The sequence below is a fragment of the Homo sapiens genome, chromosome 5 (genome assembly GCF_000001405.40).
Source record: "Homo sapiens chromosome 5, GRCh38.p14 Primary Assembly".
NCBI classification, from domain to species: domain Eukaryota; kingdom Metazoa; phylum Chordata; class Mammalia; order Primates; family Hominidae; genus Homo; species Homo sapiens.
In genome coordinates, this window is record NC_000005.10 from 77946833 (window position 1) to 77969856 (window position 23024).

The 23024-nt window shown below is 41.6% G+C and overlaps 1 long non-coding RNA gene across 2 annotated transcripts in view, besides 3 other annotated features; it reads left to right on the plus strand.

Annotated features, from left to right (window-relative positions):
- LOC101929154 (uncharacterized) overlaps window positions 1-12264 on the plus strand; it is a 74441-nt gene extending 62177 nt beyond the window's left edge. The window contains exons 1-2 of one of the 2 annotated variants that reach the window (NR_105013.1): window positions 11415-11477; window positions 12028-12264. This is a non-coding gene — a long non-coding RNA (uncharacterized LOC101929154). Of the gene's footprint in view, window positions 1-11414; window positions 11478-12027 lie in introns of those variants that run through there. The other variant, NR_105012.1, reaches the window with a different exon arrangement.
- Window positions 10385-10896: an enhancer, noted in NCBI's record as "H3K4me1 hESC enhancer chr5:77253041-77253552 (GRCh37/hg19 assembly coordinates)". NCBI's record gives its function as "activates a minimal SCP1, AML or CMV promoter by ChIP-STARR-seq in primed H9 embryonic stem cells {active_cell/tissue: H9 hESC(primed)}" and the evidence as "EXISTENCE:reporter gene assay evidence [ECO:0000049][PMID:30033119]".
- Window positions 11408-11918: an enhancer, noted in NCBI's record as "OCT4-NANOG-H3K4me1 hESC enhancer chr5:77254064-77254574 (GRCh37/hg19 assembly coordinates)". NCBI's record gives its function as "activates a minimal SCP1, AML or CMV promoter by ChIP-STARR-seq in primed H9 embryonic stem cells {active_cell/tissue: H9 hESC(primed)}" and the evidence as "EXISTENCE:reporter gene assay evidence [ECO:0000049][PMID:30033119]".
- Window positions 11919-12429: an enhancer, noted in NCBI's record as "OCT4-NANOG hESC enhancer chr5:77254575-77255085 (GRCh37/hg19 assembly coordinates)". NCBI's record gives its function as "activates a minimal SCP1, AML or CMV promoter by ChIP-STARR-seq in naive H9 embryonic stem cells {active_cell/tissue: H9 hESC(naive)}" and the evidence as "EXISTENCE:reporter gene assay evidence [ECO:0000049][PMID:30033119]".

Here is a 23024-nt window from a genome sequence, read left to right on the forward strand (position 1 = left end):
ATGTTTAAGAGCCTGTACAAATATTTTATGTTAGTGAAGTGTTGGCTGTTTAAACATAATTACTATTTTCCTTACTGGCCCTCTGGCGGCTTTATATAAAACATTTCTTAAAGCAGAAAAGAATAAAGGCTGAAATCTCTCAGTAATTCAGGGATAAGGAATTTTCAGAGGTTGCTTTTTTTTTCTTAATATGATATGAATGCTTATATCTGCCTAAATGCCCATTCGCCATCATCCAAATGATGCTTCACATACTTACTGACCAGGTATTTTCCTTTCCTCTCTTTGTAAAGTACAGGTTCTCGTTGCCATTATGTTTATATCAATTAGAGGTCCATGTGTATAGAAAAATGATCAGGCTTGGTGTGGAGCAATTTAGCTGGAGGCTGGAGAGAAGACGCTTAGGAGAGCAAACATTTTCAAGGTGCAACCGGTGACCTGTAACAAGCTGGGGAGATTCATGGCGAGAATCGTATATTTTGACACAACAGTGATTTGATTAAAAGAGAAAGTAATGGGTTTAAACAGTCGCTATGAGGGTGTAGCCAGACTTTGGTAGCTTTTTGCAATTTACTTTACAGACCAGTGATGGAGCAGGAGAGAGGACCTTTGCTACTGAAAAGCAAAGGCCACTTGGATTTGAAAACAAATATAAGCAAAAATTGGGTGGCTGAAACTAGTTTTTCCCTTCCAGCCTTTCCTTTAACACACATCTATGGAGGAGGCAGGGTAATACCAAGGCAAAAAGAAAATATTAAGGTCATTTTGAGAATAGGATTAGAACTGGATTTAATTTTGCTTGGATATTTAAAAAAATAATTATTTTTGGTGTCAGGCTCAAATGAATCAGTCTGAAAAGAAAAGGGAAAATGTAATTCTCTGCACTTTTGAGAAAAATTAGAATTTATATTAGAAAACTGAAATAGTTCATTTGTTTCACTTAGATAAGCAGTTTGATTCCTCAAAATAGTTAACATCCCTAGGGTCAATGTAGCATCAAATTTAATTTTAATATAGTAGTTGGGAATACCACAGTGTGACTTTGAATTTAATAGGTTAAAAAGAATTTTAATAAAACCTTAAGTTAACAAGTACAAGTTACAATACAATAGAATGATCCTACTAATGTAAGAATACAAGAGAAAACACAATGAAAGACATGCTGTGTATGTATATAGATCCCAGAATAACTATGACCCCCATACAAAGGATCTGAAAGTGAGCAGAACAGTGATTACCTCCGAGGAGGGAATTTTAACTGTTTACTCTGTATACTCTGGTGTTGTATGATTTTATTTATAATAATAATATAACATTATTATAATGTTTTGAGATATGACTTATATAAATGAATTTTCAAAGAGTTCCAGTAGCCGGGCACAGTGGCTCACCCCCGTAATCCCAGCACTTTGGGAGGCCAAGGCAGGCCGACCACGAGGTCAGGAGATTGAGACCATCCTGGCCAACATGGTGAAACCCTGTCTCTACTAAAAATACAAAAATTAGCCAGGCATAGTGGCATGTGCCTGTAATCCCAGCTACTCAGGGGGCTGAGACAGGAGAATCACTTGAACCTGGGAGGCAGAGGTTTCAGTGAGCTGAGATCACACCACTGCACTCCAGCCTGGCAACAGAGCGGGACTCCATCTCAAAAAAAAAAAAAAAAAAAAGAGTTCCAGTAAAGGTTTGTTTTTAAAGGAAAAAAGAGGCCTTTTCCCTATTTTGATACATACATTGTGCCTGAAAAGAAATCAGTCATGATTACTTTTGCTATAACTATGTGTTGAATGAGATAGTCATCATTGAATGTTGTTATAATAAACTACTTGAAAAAAAGTTTTAAAATTACAGTCCTGATAAGGTGTGCATGTGGAGCAAACTGTTAAAACAAAAGTCTCTTGGTGCCTTAGTTTTCTCATTGGAAGCTGATTTCTTCTTCCCTCATCCCCCACCCTTGCTGACCATGGCAGGTAGCTGCTTTAATCACTAAGCATTTATTATGATAGGCAATTCGCTCCTTTAAAACAACACTAAAAATATCAAGGTACTAAGACAGCTCTTTGTTTCAGAATTTCTTATAATAATATTCTAATTGATAAAATTTATGTTTTTCACAACTCTGATTTTTAAAGTGATAGTTGGGTGCTTTTGTTAAAAAAAAGAATGTTCTATAATGAATTTCTCATTTGGTGACATCATTTCATACACTTCAATATCTTTTTTCTATTTTGCAACTGATATCCCAAAGTTCTTTAACACTTCAAAGTTCTTCATTGTATTTTAGCCCAATGAGTATAATATTACTAGGAGAAAAAAAGTAAATATGGGGACTTAAGACTCACTTTAAGCTGGTTCATATGATTTCTAACATTTTTAGTCTGAGTGTTATAGGTCAGGCTCCCCAGGAAATAGACTCTGAGATAAAGATTTCTTGCAAGAGGTTTACTGGAGGGTGCTCTTGGAGTTACCCCTGAGCAGGGAGGGCAGGAAACAGGAATGGGTGGAAGGAGAAGTTGAGGCCATGCGGTCGCTTCAGCTGTTCTACAGAGAGCTCGGGGGCCCGGATGATCCTGCAGAATTGTTCCCCCTTTGACAGCCACTGGATGCAGGCTGACTCCTGGAAGGGAGTGTCACTTCTGGCAAGGCAGCTCTCTTTGGCATAGGACAATTCCTGGAGAGATATTTTGTTAAGAGCTTTCAGCAAACAACACTTCCAGCAATTCTAGGAATAAATGCCTTGGTCGTAAAGCGGGGCTCAGAGTGGGGCACCCCGTACCCACCACACCAAGTTTCCAGATCTCACTTTCTGCATTTCCAGCCACAAAGAACAATATTCATTCAGCTGTGGCTAGAATATCACTCCCAAAGAAAGGGCAGAAGGGAGCAACATTCATTGTGGAAAACCATGAAAGGACCATAATTCCAAGGCATTTTTCATAAAGGAAGCTAAAAGTAGAAGAGGAAAAACCCATTCCGTTGTTGTCAAGGAAGCAAGAAAGAGAATGACTTACTGGTTGGCTTACGCTAAAAATCTAATATTTTGTTCCAAATTTGCTTCATTCTGTCATACTGCATTGCTAGTGTTCTGGTTATTTCTTGCATTTGTATCGTAGAAATAATTAACAACATCCTAAGAAGGGGCCTAGAGACTATTAAGTGTAATTTTCTATGGTGCATGACATAGTAAGGCTAATAGATGAATCCCATGAAGTAGCTGATATTTTGGTCAGTAAGCAAGACTAGAGGACATCAGCCACTCATGATTGTTTTCCCAGTTTTCTGTTCCAAAGATACCTGGTTCCAAGAGGAGATAGTACAGATGAAATGAATTTACAGAGCAAATGGGGAAAGTGGGTTTTATCAAATGCTCAGGGACCAAGGAAGATGTCTTCTGGACAGGGAAGAGTGTTGTCGACCTGTTCCCATCAACATATGGCAACTTGAACTCTGACTCTGCCTTGGCAGCCTGGAAATGAACTGGGCATATTTTGAAGCAAATGACACTAATTAAGATTTGCTGAGGTATGTGGGAAGGAGAAAATATAAATGTTTTAAAGAGCTTCTTCACAGGAATGTTTATTTAACCTGTGGTAGACTAAGTAGAAAACACTTAAATCTTAAAAGGAAAATGCTTCATACGTTATGTATTCCTAATCCATCACAAAGAAAATAAGATTCCACAAACATTGCCAAAATAGTAGTCCTCCTCGGCTGGGCACAGTGGCTCACACCTGTCATCTCAGCACTTTGCGAGGCTGAAGTGGACGGATCACTAGGTCAGGAGATCGAGACCATCCTGGCTAACAAGGTCTCTACTAAAAATGCAAAAAATTAGCCAGGCATGGTGGCGGGCACCTGTAGTCCCAGCTACTTGGGAGGCTGAGGCAGGAGAATGGCGTGAACCTGGGAGGCAGAGCTTGCAGTGAGCGGAGATCACACCACTGCACTCCAGCCTGGGCAACAGAGCAAGACTCCATCTCAAACAAACAAACTAACTAACTAACTAACAGTAGTCCTCGTCCAGACAGAGTCTTTTAAGGAGAATCCAACCCTTCCTGTTCTAACACATAGAAAAACGAAGGTACACAAAAGAAATATCTGTTCCTAAACATCTCCACAACATTAACACCCCAACCTACATGTTTGTACCCATATAAATGATTTGACAGGGGCAGTAGATATGCAAATACTGTAAGGCAAAAAAAAGTGCAGGGAATTGTTTACAATTCTTGTGCTATGATTTTAATGTTTGTCCCCTCTAAAACTCATGCTGAAATGTAATTGTCATTGTGATGGTATTGGGATGTGGAACCTTAAAGAGGTGTTTAGGTCACAAGGACTCCACCTTCATGAATGAACTGAAACTATTATCATGAGAGGCAGCTTGTTATCATGGGAGTGGGTTTGGCCCCTCTTGCACTCTCTCTCTCTCTCTACCCCCCTTGCTTCTGTCATGTGATGTCTTCCACCATGTTATAGCACAGCAAGAAGGCCCATGCCAGATACTGGCACCTTGATATTGGATTTCCCAGCCTCCACAACTGTGAGTGGATAAATTCCTGTTTATTATAAATCACCCAGCCTTAGGTATTTGGTTATAGCAGCATAGAATGAACTAATACACCTTGAAAGATCTAGGATTGGGTCCTGAAATCAATCATCCTTGAACTTGATATTGGAACCCCTCATTTTTGGTTTCTTTAAAGTTTATCTCTTGAAGATGGTTTGTGTGGTAAAAGTAAATTTGAAAAGATAAGTGATGAAAAGTATGTGGAGGCAAAGAAGGAGAGATAGGGAGCAAGGAGGAAAATAGGCAAAGAAAAGTGATTACAATCAGATGGCCCCATAATCATTATAACAGCGCATATAAGTTGAGTGCCCTCTGAGATTTCCTTCTCTGATGTGCACATGCATTACCTTAATAATTCAAGCAATTAACTCTATGAAGTTGGTACTGTCCTTATCTCCATTTTTGCTGATGAGGAACCTGAGGCTTGATGAGGCTAAGCAGTTGTGTAGCACAGATAGGAGGTGGTACCAATGAAACTATAGCTCAAGAAGGCCACTTCCGTGTAAGAGCTTCATCTCCCTATGTATCTATAGACTCTCGCAGGTTAGGGCTAAAGAGCCCTTCAAGATCCAGAGACCATTCTGCCCAAGCCTCTCTTACTGCAGGCAAGGAAACGGAGGCCCAAAGCAAAAGACAAGTCATCTCTAAATTGCCTCTTTGGTTGTGTATGTTGTCTTCCAGAAAGATATGTAATTAAATGATAAATGATATTGTGGTCTGCAATATTTCTGTTTGCCCTGGTAATAAATCATCAGGACATGGAAATGTCCTAGGTTTTGTGACCAGACCCACAGTCTTTTCTGCTGCAGATGGCAGAACTAAGCACACTGGCTTAACTTGCTAAAGAAAACATTTTGGATGCCCAGGTTCCCTTGAATGAGGTTTCTGGGGATCGGCTGAATCAGGGCCTAATTTCTCCCGGAGCTCTGAAGTCATCGTAAGCTGGAACAATGACAGCAATCCCAGCCACCTACAGAGAAAACCTGATAATACTATAAAGTCCGGGATTGATTTTTAGGAAGACTCTTGGTGTTTCCAGGGGCCACAGCAAAAATATGACTGTGTTAGTCATGCATTCGTGGGATTAGAGCTGCCTCAGGCAGGGACTCAGATTATGGATGAGGCCAACCTCAAAAAGACCCTGGCCAATTATTTTTATTTCTGGAGCAAGGAACATTTGAAAACTTATAATTTATTCAATTATGGAACCGGGTTGCCCTATAACCTGCTTTACATCACCCAGAATGATTTCTGAGCTTGACAAGGGTAACTCTTTGTCAAAAACTTCAGTGGTGAGAGAAAACAGAATTACATTTTATGGTTTGAGTGTTTCCATTCAAAGGCTGAGAAGCACTGCATATGCTAAACAAGGTCAGCTTTTCCTATTCCTCTCTTATAAGGAATTCTTAGCAACTCTGAAAAATCATCATGTATTTATTCATCAAACATTGATGCAACCTAAGGCTGAAGGAATTTACTTCGGTAACTGATCTGTAGTCACCCAGTGGTTTGGTGAGACATTCTGTGCTACAACTTATATATTCCGAGTCCAATATTTTACATCCTGAAAATATGCCAGCTCTGTCTCTTAAGCTTCATTGTCTCAAGATCATTTCCTGTTGCTAAGTTTCCAAGAGTCTGCCCTTCGCTTACTCCAGAAACATCCTGTGCTTTATGCAGAAAGAAGTCAGTAAGAGCAGTCACACTATCCTTCCTGCTTTGGAAAAGCCCCAGGTCTCTCTGTTTACCTTCTCTTGTCTTCCTGAATGAGAGAAAAGCCTTGGGATATTGTGATGTCATTTTATTTTAATTTTTTTTTTTTTTTTTGAGACAGAGTCTCATCTGTCACCCAGGCTGGCGTACAGTGGTGCGATCTCAGCTCACTGCAGCCTCCGCCTCCTGGGTTCCAGCGATTCTCCTGCCTCAGCCTCCCGAGTAGCTGGGATTACAGGCTCCCACCACCATGCCCAGCTAATTTCTTTGTATTTTTAGTAGAAACGGGGTTTCATCATGTTGGCCAGGCTGGTCTTGAATTCCTGACCTCAGGTGATCCATCTGCCTCAGCCTTCCAAAGTGCTAGGATTACAGGCATGACTGCGCCCAGCATGTGGTGTCATTTTATATTGCTCAAATTTATATAGTCTTAAACAGACACAGAATGTTATATAGTGACATGACCTTGGACTGTGAAAATGACATAATGACTCCTATCTCATGGTATTGTTGTGAAGCATAATAATGTAAGTATACACTGCCTGGCATATACTAGATGCCCAATAAATGATAGCCACCATTATTATCAATTTTCTAAAAGATAAAGGATATTTGCAGAGAAGATGTTCTATAAAATACTCAGCATAAGAGGGTAGAAAAGCATGTATGAATTGTAAATGAAACTTTAGCTTAGACTTCCTTGGGCTGTGGACAAGCATCTCTAGGCTGTAGCCACTCACCTGGGTCCTGAAGAAAGTTCCAGGGGGAGACGAACAGAAGTAAAGTAAAGGGCTTCTTTTTTTTTTTTGAGACGGAGTTTCACTCTGTCGCCCAGGCTGCAGTGCAATGACGTGATCTCGGCTCACTGCAACCTCTGCTTCCCGGATTCAAGTGATTCTCCTGCCTCAGCCTCCTGAGTAGCTGGGATTACAGGCACAAGCCACCATGCCTGGCTAATTTTTTTTTTTTTTTTTTTTTAATAGAGACGGGTTTTTGCCATGTTGCCTAGTCTGGTCTCGAACTCCTGAACCCAGGTGATCAGCCTGCCTCAGCCTCCCGAAGTACTGGGATTACAGGCATGAGCCACTGTGCCCGGCCTATAAAGGGCTTCTAATGAGGAGGTGATTTCCCCAACTGTCCCAGCGCCCTCCAAAACCAAAAATGAATCCAAGCGCCCTCTCTACCACCCTTTCCTACCCCCTCACCCTGTTCTTGAGCAGAACTGAAGACACAGACTTTAGTCTGGGCTCCCTAAACCAAAATGTTCCAAATCACAACTTCAGGGCTTTCTAAATTGGCAGCTCAAGACCCCGTTGCCCCCCATACACTTCTGACTTATGTAGATGTTTGATGATTCTTTAAAAAGTGAGCTGCTAAGTTCACATGACAGTTCTACCTCCTTTCTATGGTGATCACTTTCTGTAAGGCCTACAAAGATTTCAGCCCACTTGTTAGCCCACTTAGGCAAAGCTGTATGTATGGAAGACGCTCTGTTGCTTGTTTTAGTTCAATTGCACATGCTTAAGAATAAATCCAGGCTAACACCCATTTGTAACAGGGAACTAGAAAGAGATGTAGAAAATTGGGCATGCAATATGTAAAAGCCTAAACAAAAAGTAGAAGCTGTGGAAAGAAATGTGAAAAAATAAAAACAGTTATGTTAGAATGGCAGGGTTGTGGAAAACTTCTTATAAAACATATTTGAATTTGGTACAATATTATTTTTAGAACTGACAAAATCCCAGCGTTGAGAGTGGGGAACAGCAATCTTCTAAAAGACGTTTAAAATAAAAATCAGGCTGGGCATGGTGTCTCGCACCTATAATCCCAGCACTTTGGGAGGCCCACGCAGGTGGATCACTTGAGGTCAGGAGTTCAAGACCAGCCTGGCCAACATGATAAAATCCCATCTGTACCAAAAAAATACAAAAATTAGCTGGGTGTGGAGGTGCATGCCTGTAATCCCACCTACTTGGGAGGCTGAGGCAGGAGAATTGCTTGAACTCAGGTAGCGAAGGTTGCAGTGAGCTGAGATCACACCACTGCACTGAGCAACGGAGTGAGATTCCATCTCAAAATAAATAAGTTAATTAAATAAAAGTTAATTAAATAAAAATCAAATGTTTCTGGCAACATAAAAGGAAGCACCATTATAATGCACAGAGCCTTATTTTTTCAACTCTAAATATGCAGTGATATACACACTAAACTAATGGGGCTTTTTCTGTATACACTAGAAAAAGCTAACATATTCCTATTATTACCAGTGATATAGCATTGGCAAAAGAGGCCTCTATCTCAGTTTTCCTTTTTATAATAATTAATTCTAACATTTTGACATGCAGGTGACAGAGAACTAGAAAGGAAAGCTTATGAATTCAAAGACAAAATTGGTATCTAAAAACATTTAGACAAGGCCGGGATAAAGGGTCATCTTCAAAGGAAGGCATTTAATAGGTACTAAATGTAAAGCCCTACACTTCAATACAAAAAATTATCTGCCTAAGTACAAAGGTCAAACATTTTTAGCCAGAAAAAGTAGAATAGGTTTAGGGTTTTTATTGATCACAAGTTGAGTAGAAGTAAACAGTGTGTTAGAGCCACCTTAAGGACTAAAGTAATTTAGTTTACACTTCCAGAACCAGGATGATGACTAATTTCCCGCAATAAACAAATAAACTCAAAATCTGAATATGGCCTTTAGACCTTGGATGAGCTGATTTTCCTCAGAGGATCCAGGTAAGGTTCTATCCTATTCTATGATTCTAGCCTCTCAATTTCTGCTGTGCACCAAGGGTTTAGAATTCAGAATACATAGACTTGATAGAGGGTCTATGAATGGGTTTCAAGAGGCCTGCAAACCCTCTAATGTCATATGTAAAATGTTCTGCTTTCCATGAAATTCTAAGGCAAAGAATTTAGAAACCAATGTTCTAGACCAGGGAGTTTCAAAGGGGGCAGTGTCCATCCCAAAAAGGCAGTACATTGGCACTCAAACAATTGTTCCAGGTCCTTCAGAACACATCCCAATGTTCCATCGGATATTCATGTAGGTGAAAAAGCCTTTGATAACTATCTCTAGCTCCATTTTTCATATGAGCACAAAGTGTTTTTACCTAGTTTTAATGTACATTAAATTTTCCAGGAATACAACTACCATGTACACAGTTTTGTCTGGAACCTGACCAAGAGTTGCTCACCATTTTAGAAAATCATGTTATGGACAACAATGCAATGTAGCCCTTGGGCTTTGAGTTCTTCCAACCACAGCTGTCACATTTGGATGATGATTCTACTTGTATGAGGAAATATCCTTATTCAGCCCTTATTTCATAACGTTGATTATAAAGAAAAAGAGTCAACAACAATCAACTGAAAGCTTTCTCTTAAATCAACATTTGTTATAAAGCGATGTGATCCCAGCACTTTGGGAGGCTGAAGCAGGAGGATCACTTGAGCTCAGGAGTTCAAGATCAGCCTGGGCAACATGGCAAAACCCCATCTTTACAAAAAAATACAAAAATTAACTGGGCGTGGTGGCATGTGGCTGTAGTCGTAGCTACTCAGGAGGCTCAGGTGGGAGGATCACTTGAGCCCACAAAGATTGAGGCTGCAGTGAGCCAAGATGGCACCACTGCACTCCAGCCTGGGCAATAGAGTGAGAGCCTGTCAAAAAAAAAAAAATGGCAGTGAGATTATTTGATTACTTCATTTCTTAGTTGTCGTGACGGAGAATGTACCCATTGAAACATGTATTTTACCATATTTTTGTTATATTATACCTTTTGTGTTGTTGTTTATAGTTAGGCCCTCATGTTTTTGCCTCTCTTTCTTTTCTTCGTTCCTTCTATCTTCTCTTCTTCTAAATCACATGTAGGATATATTATTCAATATTTTTATTTGGAATAGTAAAAGATATTACAACTTTTTTCTTTCTTTCTTTTTCTTTCTTTCTTTTTTTTTTTTTTTTCTGAGACACGATCTCACTCTGTTGTTCAGGCTGGAGTGCAATGGCACAATCACGTCTCACTGCAGCCTGGACCTCCCAGGCTCAAGTGATCCTCCTGCCTCAGCCTCCTGAGTAGCGGGGACTGCAGGCGTGTGCCACTATGCCCAGCTAATTTTTGTATTTTTGGGGTAGAGAGGGGGGTCTCACTGTGTTGCCCAGGCTGGTCTCGAACCCCTGAGCTCAAGAGATCCTCCCACCTTAGCTTCCCAAAGAGCTGGGATTACAGGCGTGAGCCACCGCGCTGGGCATTAGGAAGTATTTGTTATGAAAAGACGGTTGCTGCCACCCAACGCTGTTGAGAATCGCTATCAAGACGCGTGTCCTCAAGTTCAATTTCCAAAATTTCCTGGAAACTGTTTTATGTTACTTCACTGTCAGAAGACCCAGCACGGGTATGCGAAGGGAGGTCTGAGAGCCTCAGAAACAACACGTAAAACACACACACGCACACACCCCCCCAACCAAACCACCCCGTCCTCTGGGGAAGAGGGTCCCTCTGCCTGATTCCCTGGAGATGGCTCCCCGCCCAGGGCCCAACTCTCTTCTCCTGGACGCCATCTCCCCGGAGCTGGGGGCCTCGGCTCCGCAACGGCTGCGAAGTTTCACCGATGCCGCAGGCCTAAGGCCACCCTTGGTCCCAAACCCAGCGCCGGGACGCGCGCCCCAGCCCCATCGGAGCTGCCATGGCCCCATGATTAGGGCCACGGTGGCCCCTGACTTTCTCTTATTAATGTTTTTTTTTAATTGTAAATCATTACTCAGCTCAGCTCAGTCACCAGGCAAACTGTGTTTAATAAATTAGCTTAATCTATTCCGCAAGTGGTTTGTGAGTGCTGTGTTTCCTCTGGTTAAGGAAAACATTTATATTCTCTCTCCTTGCCCAGCGTTCCTGGGCTCCCGGAGTCGCTACCCAGGCCGGGCGCACGGGGAGGCCTGGAGCGGGAGGCTCTCGGCCCGCCGCTCGCGGGAACCCCCACCTCGGGCGGCCGGGAGGGCAGTTGGTGGCGGCGTGGCCTCTTTGTCCCCGTCAGCCCGAGGCGGCGCTGGTGCCCACCCGGCCTCCCCGTGGCCCAGCCCCGCGCCTCCGCCCCGGGCAGCGCGCATTCCCCTCTTCCAGAGGGGCCTCTTTAACGGCTCCCCATGAAATAATCATTCATTATGTCACCAGGAGGGAAGAAAGGGAGTGTAAGTGTCTTGATGGGATTAGAGGAAACCCCCGCAGAGATGATTTAGGGGCCGTGATAATTCATTTAATAGGGGCCTGGGGCAAATTGCTAGACAGGGAAATGGAACTGAAGCAGCTCGAAAGGGCGCCCGGCAAGGCTGTGGCGGGGGAGCCGGCTTCATTAGCAATATTTAAGAGATTTCATTTAAGAATGAGTCATAAAATGCAGTACTATTTTATCCACCTGGTTTGGTGGCCTTTAGCTTTCCTCTGCATGAATATTAAATGTGAAATGGCACTACAGCAACACATTTTGGAAAGTGTTCTTTAGGCTGTTATTTGTATGGTTGGTTTAGTTTCTCGTTTGTTAACCTTTTAAAATGAATATCATTGAAAATGGATAACTGTACAACCAGAGCTCGAAAAACATTAGGGGGAGTATAATGCTTTAGAATAGGTTGTTACTAAACTGGGTAAAGGATTTAAGTTTTTATTGATCAAAACACAAAAGGCATAGAGAGCAAGTCAGTAAATGGCAAATTACTTTGACAATTCCCAATTTTCATGCAGATTTTGTGAAGCTGTCCCATTCAAAGCCACCCCCAGAGGCCCGGAGGAGACCACAAAGCTGCGAACACAGCCGGGACCTGCCCACTGACACACTGAAGAGTCAACACGATTCAGGAAAGCACTTTCAAAGAGTGTTTTATCTTGGACAGATAATATTCCGTTTTGTTTCTGAGAGGCAATGACAATCTCTAGTTCGATTGTAAAACTATTTCCTTCAAATATACATTTTTATCTATGGAGAGTGGTGTTATTTGGGGTTTTACAAACCTAAGAAGTTTACATTTGGCAACAGTGATTGTTCCCATTACAACTACAATGTAAAAAAACAGATTCTCTTTTGGTGTGCATCCTCCCCTCTTTGGTTTCGAGGGTGACTTTCCCACGCATATCTGCCACTCACTTGGGAAGTCCTAGTCTGGAAACATTTTAGCAAATACGTAACCATCGTTCCATTGTGGCCCACACATTTGCCTGACCTGACATTCTTCCCCAAAACTCTTATATTTGCAAACTAAAACATTAGCTCTTGATTCCCTCCTCTTCCACCTTTTAAAACTAAAAATAGCTCTTCCAGATAGGCTGTTTTCATTTTTTTTTTTTTTTTAATCGCAGCTGCACTCTGTTATTTTAACAAAACAACTGGCAGGTCTCTATTCACAGAGCTGCTTTAGCCACATAGGATACATAAGATGCATAATCAATATGTTCTTTAAAAGACTCTCTTAATCAGAAAAGATGCTAACTACATGTAAAATTATTCACTTACATATATTGGTTTGTGCAATTTTCCACAGTGACAGTAAAGTTGGTAGCTAAATATGTTTTTATACATAACAAAACTTAGCGAATGTCTTTTGTAAGGCATGCATTGTGAGGGTAGTATTAATATTTGTGTTTCTACGTTTATATTCCACCATCCCCTAGTAAAGATGTTCTATTTTATACAGAGTTGTAAACCACTTTGAAATATAGTGAGATGCTCTATTTTGAATAAAATCAGGTTACTGATGTACTAAATAGGCAGCGTCTGGACAAAAGCAAGCCTCACTGAAGGTGGGTTAGTTCCCTCTAGAGCCTGTCCCCAGTCCTGAGTTCTCAGACTTTTCTCAGTGTTTCCCTTTAGTGAAAAGGAGCCAGGATTAGCCATGAGCAGTCATGGTCAATGTTCTGAGAAGTTTTGAGAAGGAAACTCCTCTTCAGCAAAAGAACTTTCATTCTCTCCTTCTTCCTGTGAAATGGCACTCTAAAGGTGACCAAGGCAACCCAAAGAAAGATACCTGTTTGCAACATCTATTTTTGCTTTTCAGAAATAGGATTTAGTTGCCAATTAGAAAGCCAGAAAGCAAAGAAGATCCCTGCACTGCCACTTAGAATGGTTATAGCCACACACTAGCAGAAACTGAAAGATTCATCGGAAAACAACCCCCAATCCTTGGCCTTGCATTTAAATGTGAATGGGGCTGTGTGTCTACCCTGCCTTCTTGCTTTCCTTCCTTTACATGATTCCTGCCATGTCTAAAGCAGGCATACCCATACTGTTGAATCTTGGAGTAACTGACAGTGTCCAAATGATACCCTGGATTTAAACAGTTTCAAGCACAGTAGACACATTGTCACCAGACAGCCAGTGGTGGGAAACCAGTGTGTGTAGGATGCAGGGATCACGAGGGAGCAGCCACAGAGGCAGTGACTGCTTTCTGCCTTCAGAGAGCCCAGCCTCTGCACACACAGGCATCCACAGACACAAAGCCACATCCTTATCAACAGAGGGGACAGGAATATGACATTCTGCACACAGCCAAACACCTTAGAGGACTGAGGTACTGAGGACAAAATATTTAAAGCCAGTAAAGCTGGAAGTTGAGTGGGCAAAAAAGCATACATACTTTCATAGACCCATTTTTCTAGTAATAAATTCCACGGTTTTTTCTCATTACCACAAATATACACATACAAAGGTAAAGAAACTATATAGGCAATTATTTAAGTTCTCTCCTTTTTCAATTAATATTAACCTTTAAAACATTAAATACTATTTCTGAGGATCACATAATCTAAAAAAAGAAGAAAGAAAAAAAAAGCCTTTATGTGAATTAACCAGAAGAACTAGCACTCCCTAACAGCAGACAAATAGGCCTCTACAACACTTTCTCACATCTTCCTCAGGGCAACCACAAAGGAACATCATTGCCAATCACAGGCGATCTGTGCTTTGGAAACCTGAAACCACAGCGTTTTCTTCATGTGGGCAAAGTACATCAAATCTGATTAAAATAAGCTTACACTACAAATTGGCCTAAGCTGTGTGGAAAGTGGTTGGCAATACATATCAAAGGCCTTAAAAATGTTATTCTACTTAATTCATTAATTCCATCTCTGGGACTAGCTCCTGGGGCAGTTATGTGAAATGCCACCAAAGGTTTATATAAAAGATGTTTATCTTTTATATTTATAATAGGAAAAAACAAGAAACCATACAAACATCCAATTATAGGAAATAGTGAAGTAAGTTATAGGATCCTACAATGGAATTTAATAAACCTATATTCAATTTTATACATACAGGATCCTCTAAACTGTGTAAAACAAAACAGAGGAGAGAAAATGTTAACATGATTATCTCTGGGTGGTGAGCATTTTGGTTTTTGCCTCATATTTTGTAAATTTTCTATAATAAGGATGTATTTAATAATCAGTAAAAGATATATATACATATGTACATATTTTTACATAATATATCAATGTTGTACACATCTACAATTCATTAATTTCTTTGATGTTTATAACATAATAAGCTGACAGGCAAACAAGGAATCTCAGAATCAAAATAAAACCAAAATCGCTTATATAATGTTTCCTTTAAATAACCACATTAAAATAAATTAGCGTTTTTTTTATTCTTGCCAAGCATTGCATACCTACATATTTTCTTTTCTGTCCAATAAGTAAATTTCCTACGTAGTGATCACTGTGATTTTCTTTTGTGAGCATATGTAGGTTGAAAATGTTCCATGTTTTGATTAGAATAATCAAGCTGTCAGGTGAGAAATCCACATTTCATCATGATCATCTGCAGCTCACACTTGGCACCCAATATACACATATTTATTTTACTGACCTGGCCATACACAAATAATAGCACATGGCAAATTTGCAAAGACAGCCCTGCTCTCAGGCCATTGTATTATCTGCAAAAATCTGTTTTCAGCAGCAGACTATCCACAAATTTGACCCCCTGGCTCTTTTTTCTTTTTTTAACTAGGTCAAGTTGCTGTCCCTGTAGCACCATCAGTATATTTAATAAAAATCAAGTATATCTTGTGTTTGAAACATACATTATAAATAGATGTATAGATGGAGCAGATATTGAGAAAAGAAATGGTAAAGATTATGAATATTAAGATTTATATTAATCTATAAGCCTATTAAAGTACAGTAAAACCTGTCCTTCAGACCACCTTTTTAAAGATATCACCTCCCTGATGGGACCACTAAATTTCGGGCCAAATTATTTTCCCATAAAGAACAATGAAAAGAAAATGATTATATTAAGACTACTTCTACTATGGTTTCTTTCCATTGTTCCGCCAAAAATGATTCCAAACAGTAAAATAACATTGATTTTGACCTTGTTAATGAACCTGAAGAACTTCATGGAATACTCAAACACCGATTTCCATTTTTAACAGGAAAAAAAAAATGGACCCTCCGCCTCACATTTTTGAAAACACCAGCAGTAGGTAGGGATAATTTCACTGGTATTCTGCAGATGTAGCTTATCTTGATATTGCTAATGTTCCGTAAGGTTTGTCATGTGGATTTTTCTTTGTGCCAAAAGCAGGAGATGATTGTGTGATCTGTAAAATATTGAAGAAGCCTTCAAACTGAGAGATTTATTGCATTTCTTTTTGGTTACAAAGATTCTCATATACAATATTACTGAAGTGATCTTCAGTTTTCCAAAATGCCACTCTCTCCAAGGGAACAACTTTCTCTCCTTTGGCCTTACAAGGACTCCCTGTGGCTTTGACTAGCTTTTCTTCCAAACAAAACTGCCGTATGATCCATGCTCCCCCGAACCTCTCAAGGAGGGCCCTGGTTCCCTTAATCAGGTTCTTCTTGAGCTCATTCATGTCAGTCAGAAACACCAGAGGCCCTACTCTCCTTGTGTGGTATTTCCAAGGTGTGCTTCCTAACAGTGAAGCCTCCAGAGTTGTCCATTGCAGCTTCCCAAGGATGCAATGTGCATCTGTTTAAGGGCAGAACGTGCTCATCTTATTGGGACACAGAGACACCCACTCAATGTCTGTCTATCTATTTAAATAGGGCTTCTTCCCCCAGTGGATAGAAGGAAGAATTGATCACGTGTAGATATATTTTAAATTACTCATATTGTGCAAGGGACACATCTTAAAATTCACCAATACAAAGTAAACATGTGAGCAGTAACTGCCAATCATGCAAGTTCCTTTGGGAAGGCTTCACTAGACTCCGTACCCCTGGAGGGCAAGAACTATGTCCTGTGTGTGTTCATGTGCCCAGCTTCAAAGCCAATGCCTGCCATCATCTGCTCCCAGTAAGCCAGCATGGATAAGAACTGAGTTGCCAGCTGTGCCCACCCCAGTTTACCTCTTTCTTTAGCTGCAGGTCAGTGGACTCTCACCTGCCTGCCGTCATAGGCTGTCCATGCTGAAAGGGGCCTTGGAGCACATTGGTTCAGCCCAGCCCAGCACTCTCGTCCTAGAGATGGGGTTACCAAAGTGTCAAGGATGCCCCAAGTAGAGACAATATATGTGGCCATGAACCTTATGGGCAAAAATCCCAGGTGTTTATTCCTGTTCCTAAAAAGAAGAAGACCACGAAATAAAAAGTGGTGTATTTTAGCTGATAGCCTAGGGTAGTAAGCCAGCTGGCTGTGGCTGTGTGGTCTGAGCTCAAAAGAAAACTATAAACATAGTTCTTCAAATGCTGAGTGTCATAACAATACAGTTTCTCTTTTGAATCAGATTTATAATTTTTTTTCTGTTTGAGATGGAGAAAGCAAGGCACAGTGGACAGTGAGTGAGAAGTAGCACGTGGTAACCTAGGTTTGAATTCCAGCTCCACCGTTTGCTTGCTGTGTGACCTTGGGCAAGTCGCTTATCCTCTCTGGGCCTCAGCTTTTTCATCTGTAAAATGAGGACAAAAATACTGTGGGCCTCTGTGGGCTATTTGAAGAGCAAAGGACACTTGATAGTTCAATGCACTGTGCAAGACAAAAGTGAGTTATTTACTTGAAAATGAAAATGAATTTAAAAGCTATGGCCATACATAGGCTGGGCGCAGTGGCTCATGCCTGTAATCCCAGCACTTTGGGAGGCCGAGGCGGGCGGATAACGAGGTTAGGAGATCGAAACCATCCTGGCTAACATGGTGAAACCCTGCCTCTACTAAAAATACAAAAAATTAGCTGGGCGTGGTGGTGGGCGCCTGTAGTCCCAGCTACTCAGGAGGCTGAGGCAGAAGAATGGCATGAACCTGGGAGGCGGAGCTTGCAGTGAGCCGAGATCACACCACTGCACTCCAGCCTGGGCGACAGAGCAAGACTCCGTCTCAAAAAATAAAAATAAATAAAAAAATTAAAGCTATGGCCATACATATAAAGAAAAGAAACCACAGGTGAAGACGAATGCGCACAGACATTTTAATTAGGGTGTTCCTCACCTCTTTTGAGCAAGCTAACTGGGTGATCGCATGTATGACACACCAGACGTCTGGGTATCAATTCAGCTGGAGCCACAGGATGTGACCTGCCAACTCTTCCTCCAAAGTCACCTCACAACTGCCACTGCTCTCCTCCCATGGGGTACAGGGGCATGTATGGACCCAGAGGTCTCAGTGTGACTTTCTCCTTCTCTCCCTCCCCAGTTATCCTCCTGCTCCTTGCTAGAGACACTAAGGAAGTTCACGTCTATGAAGATGAGGGCAAGTATAGTCCAGATCCTAAGAAGAATCATATGGCCTTCTTTCTGTTCCTTCAGTGACAGGTTCCTTGTTGCTTCAAGACCTACACAAATTGGTGAGGTCTCTCCTCCCCTTCCGGGAGTCTTGCCACATCTCTCCTCTCTCCAATTCATTTTTACTGGAAGTGAATAGATCACACTTCTGAGCTTAATGTTAGTTCTTTTTACCTTATCAAATTTCTCCTTCTTTCCTCACCCCAACCTGCAAATGAAACAAGCAGCTTCACTTTTGCATCAAAACGAGGTAGAAAAAGACAGGGGAAAAAAGACCATTGTTTTTGTGCCATTTTTGGTGCCTCTATAGGGACAGGGCTGGCTTATTTTGCACGCTTATTGCTAAAGTAGACAATGCTAGGCCCTGAGCACCCCTAATTCTGGACTGAAATTTGTCCTTCCCTGACACTGAAAAGACGCTTTTCATTTTTACACATCTATTCAACAAACATTTATTGAGGGGTTATTATGTGCTAAGCACTGTGCTAGGTGTCAAAGAAGTAAGCAATGTATGTTCCTTCTGAGGGCAAACACATCACGCATTTCTGCAGATGCCCTCTTGCTTGTTTTTGCACTTATCTAGTACTAAAATCAGCCAAAGAGTATTCTCTCTCCAGAGCAGATGCCTGGCACAATCTACTTTTGAGCCTGCACCTCCTCGAGACTCAAAAAATACTCTGGAAATTGGCTGGGTGTGGTGACTCACACCTGTAATCCCAGCACTTTGGGAGGCCAAGGCAGAAGGATTGCTTGAGGCCTGGAGTTTGAGACCAGCCTGGTCAACAGAGGAAGATCCTGTCTTTACAAAAAATAAAAAATTAGCTGGGTGTGGGGGCACATGCCTATAGTCCTAGCTACTCAGGAGGCTGAGGCAGGAGGATGGATTGAGTCCAGGAGTTCGAGGCTACAGTGAGCTATGATCATGCCACTGCACTCCAGACTGGGTGACAGAGCAAGACCCTGTCTCTGAAAAACAAAAAATAAAAAAAATCAAGAAATAGAGTCTTAGAACTGCTGACTGGACAGGACACCAAATCTATCTACCATATGGAACCCATGAGGAAATAAAGGATTCAAGAGTAAATGACTCCTCTGAAGCCACCCACAGTGGCCAATCTTATTTATCTTGAGTGACTTAGGGGCTGGTCGGGGTGGAGGTCAAGGAATATCCTCAAGGATAGCTAGATGTCCTTTCCAGTCTGGAGATTCTAGGCAGACCAGAGGGAATGGTGGCGACCTGGCTGCCAGCTCTCTGGAGTCGAGAATCTGAAGCAATGTGAGCTGCCGCCGGTTCATGCCACTGCCAGTGTTTGCCTGCGCCATCACTATCAGCATCAAACTCACTCCCTGCTTTGTTAAGTGCTTTGGGATTTCTCAAGTAGAAAAGGTGCTATATAAAATCAATCACAGGAAACCCTGCTGCTGGCAGCTCAGAACAGCTACAGTAAGCAGTGTCCACTCAATCAATAGTCCCTCACCGAGAAGGGGAAAGAATACCATTAAAAAGGTGTGCTCTTAGAAAAACTTCCCTTAAGTAAGGGGGGGAAATCCTACCTTACAAAGAGTGTATATATACAGAAAGCACACAATATATTGTTCCTCCGTGACCAATATTACACATGATGGGAGAAGGAACTTACTGCTTACTACATACTTTTGCTTTTCTTTTAACCACGCAAGAACACAAACTGATACACGTTGAGCCTGAAAAACCTTGTAGGCCCCGTGCAGGAAATGCTTATTGGATTCATTTATAAAATGAAAATGGAATTAGCTCTATGGCACTGGGGTAGAAAAAAAGTGATTTCTACAATTGGCTTGCCAAAGAATAATATGCAAGTGTATTAGTACATTTTCACACTACTATAAAGATACTACCTGAGTGTGGGTAATTTACGAAGAGAAGATGTTTAATTGGCTCACAGTTCCACACGCTGTACAGGAAGCATGGCTGGGGAAGCCTCAGGAAACTTACAATCATGGCGGAAGGCAAAGGGGAAGCAAGGCACCTTCTTCACAAAGTGGCAGGAGAGAGAAAGCATGCAGGGGGAACTGTCATTTTTAAAACCATCAGATCTCATGAGAACTCCTTCACTATTATGAGAACAACATGGGGGAAACCACCTCCATGATCCAATCACCTCCCACCAGGTCCCTCCCTTGACACCCTGGGGATCACAATTTGAGATGAGATTTGAGTGAGGACACAAAGCCAAACCATGTCAGCATGTTTGGGATATAGTATAACTTGTTTGCCTTTAATTATGTTTAAATATACGGAATATACGTAGATGCATATCATTTTATGGTGTTAAAGAACTGGGCTTCTTAGCCGGGCGCGGTGACTCGCGCTTGTAATCCCAGCACTTTTCGAGGCCAAGGCGGGCCTCGGCGGATCACGAGGTCAGGAGATCGAGACCATCCTGGCTAACACGGTGAAACCCCATCTCTACTAAAAATACAAAAAAAAAAAAAAAAAAATCAGCCGGGCGTGGTGGTGGGCGCCTGTAATCCCAGCACTTGGGAGGCTGAGGCAGGCGCATCACTTGAGGTCAGGAGTTTAAGACCAGCCTGACCAACATGGAGAAACCCCATCTCTACTAAAAATACAAAAAATTAGCCGGGCGTGGTGGCTGGCGCCTGTAGTCCCAGATATTCGGGAGGCTGAGATGGGAGAATGGCGTGAACCAGGGAGGCGGAGCTTGCAGTAAACTGAGATCGCGCCACTGCACTCTAGCCTGGGTGACAGAACGAGACTCCGTCTCAAAAAAAAAAAAAAAAAAAAAGAACTGGGCTTCTTGCACAATCCTAAAGAATATTAATTTGGAATATTTTGGTTTTCATTTCATTTCAAAAGTTAAAATACAAAAAGTACATAAAATTGCATTACTATGTAGATGAAATCATGCTACTTCTCAAAGGTACAACATGGTAATTTAACTAGTTGAGAAAATTAGGAAGAGGATATCTCACAGTATTTTTAATCCACAAACAATTTTTTGTTAACTACAGAAAAGTATTGTGGTTTTTTAAGTTAAAGAGAACTTTAAAAAGCAAATAGGGGCTGGGCATGGTGGTTCATGCCTGTAATCCCGGCACTTTGGGAGGCCAAAGCGGGTGGATCATCTGAGGTTAGGAGTCCATGACCAGCCTAGCCAACATGATGAAACCCCGTCTCTATTAAAAATACAAAAATTAGCTGGGCGTGGTGGCGAGTGCCTGTAGTCCCAGCTACTCGGGAGGCTGAGGCAGGAGAATCGCTTGAACCTGGGTGGTGGAGGTTGCAGTGAGCCAAGATCACGCCACTGCACTCCAGCCTGGGTGACAGAGCGAGACTTCACCGCAAAAAACAAAACAAAACAAAAACAGCAAATAGGGACAACCATTGCAGTTCTCCATGAAGTAGGTGTAATCTAAGAAGAGAGTTCTTGAAGAGTTTGTCTAATGAAGTCTTCCTGTGGCCTGAAAGAGTATTTTAAATCAGTCATCAGTGTCTCTTTAAGTCTTTTCCACAAACCGTAATAGAGTTTAACTTGCTAAAGTGTAAATGATTAAAAATCCCGCATTTACAAGAAAATGCATAGGTTCTTTGATCCAAGCGTTGTAAACTCTGGAGTGCATTATAATCCCTTGGAGGGGCTTATTAGATGCTGACCTAATGGCTTGTGGACCTTACCTTAAGAAATTCTGTGCCTAGTCCCTTGGTTGTAGGTTAGGAAACTACTTCATGGCTGTCTGACAATGACTTGCTCAAGGCCACCCCACTATATGATTCTAGGGCACCAACCTTAACCATGCCTCCCACCTGTCCCACATCAGCATTCTTTTCCCTTCAACACCTGGTTCTTCTCTCTGAAATGGCTTTGGTTACTCTCAAATGCTTCTCGAATTGTTCACCCAGGACAAATGATATTCCCTTCATGGAAATAATTCCTAAATAGCTTCTCTTTCTTCCTTTAAGAGTTCTTTACAATCATTTTAGTCTATAAAATCAGAATTGTGTTTAAACCATTTATTATACAAAAATGCCCAGTTACAGACCTAGTACTATTTTTGTTTTTTATAATGTCTGGTTAAGAAATTCTCAAGAAGGCCGAGCATGGTGGCTCATGCCTGTAATTCCAGCACTTTGGGAGACCAGGGGTTGGGGCGGGGGGGGGGGGGGGGTGGATCATGAGGTCAGGAGTTCAAGATCAGCCTGGCCAATATGGTGAAACCCCATATCTACTAAAAATACAAAAATTAGCCGGGCGTGGCGGCGGACGCCTGTAGTCCCAGCTACTCAAGAGGCTGAGGCAGGAGAATCGCTTGAACCTGGGAGGCAGAGGTTACAGTGAGCCGAGATTGTGCCACTGCACTCCAGCCTGGGCGACAGAGCAAGACTCCAACTCAGAAAAAAAAAAGAAGAAAAAAAAAGAAACAAAGAAATTCCCAAACACTCAGGGTGAAGCCGAGAGGAGGTGAGTGGATCTGGTTAGTATATATTGTAGCTGAGACTCCAGGTTTATAGTGCCCATGATGTCCTCAGCTTAGATTTCAGCAGTTTCACTAGAGTGACTATAATTTCCAGAGCTACCAAATGCTACCCAGAGTCTGACCACATTACCAGAAATTTCAGATTAGATCTAGATTTAAACAGATACACCTAAACTTGGGGGTAAGGGGCTAACTTTTTTCTTGGTTAACATAACTTAATTTCAGTGTATTTCTCTTAAACACCTAGCTACACCAACAAGGTAGATGCTTAATAGTTCAGACACATTCTGAAGTTTATGCCTCAAAGGCAATCATAGGAATTCCAAGAGTGATTCATACACAAATAAATCTGTAACTTTCCAGCAGAATTATTTTTAAAACCTACCAAATATTACCTTTTCTTCTACAGGCTAGATTATTTCTTGCTTACCCATTGTACTGATAGCCAGGGAGAGCCAGGGAGAAGTATGATAATCAAACTCCATTCTATCTGCTAGCTCTGTCCTATTTTCTTCATGAAATTTT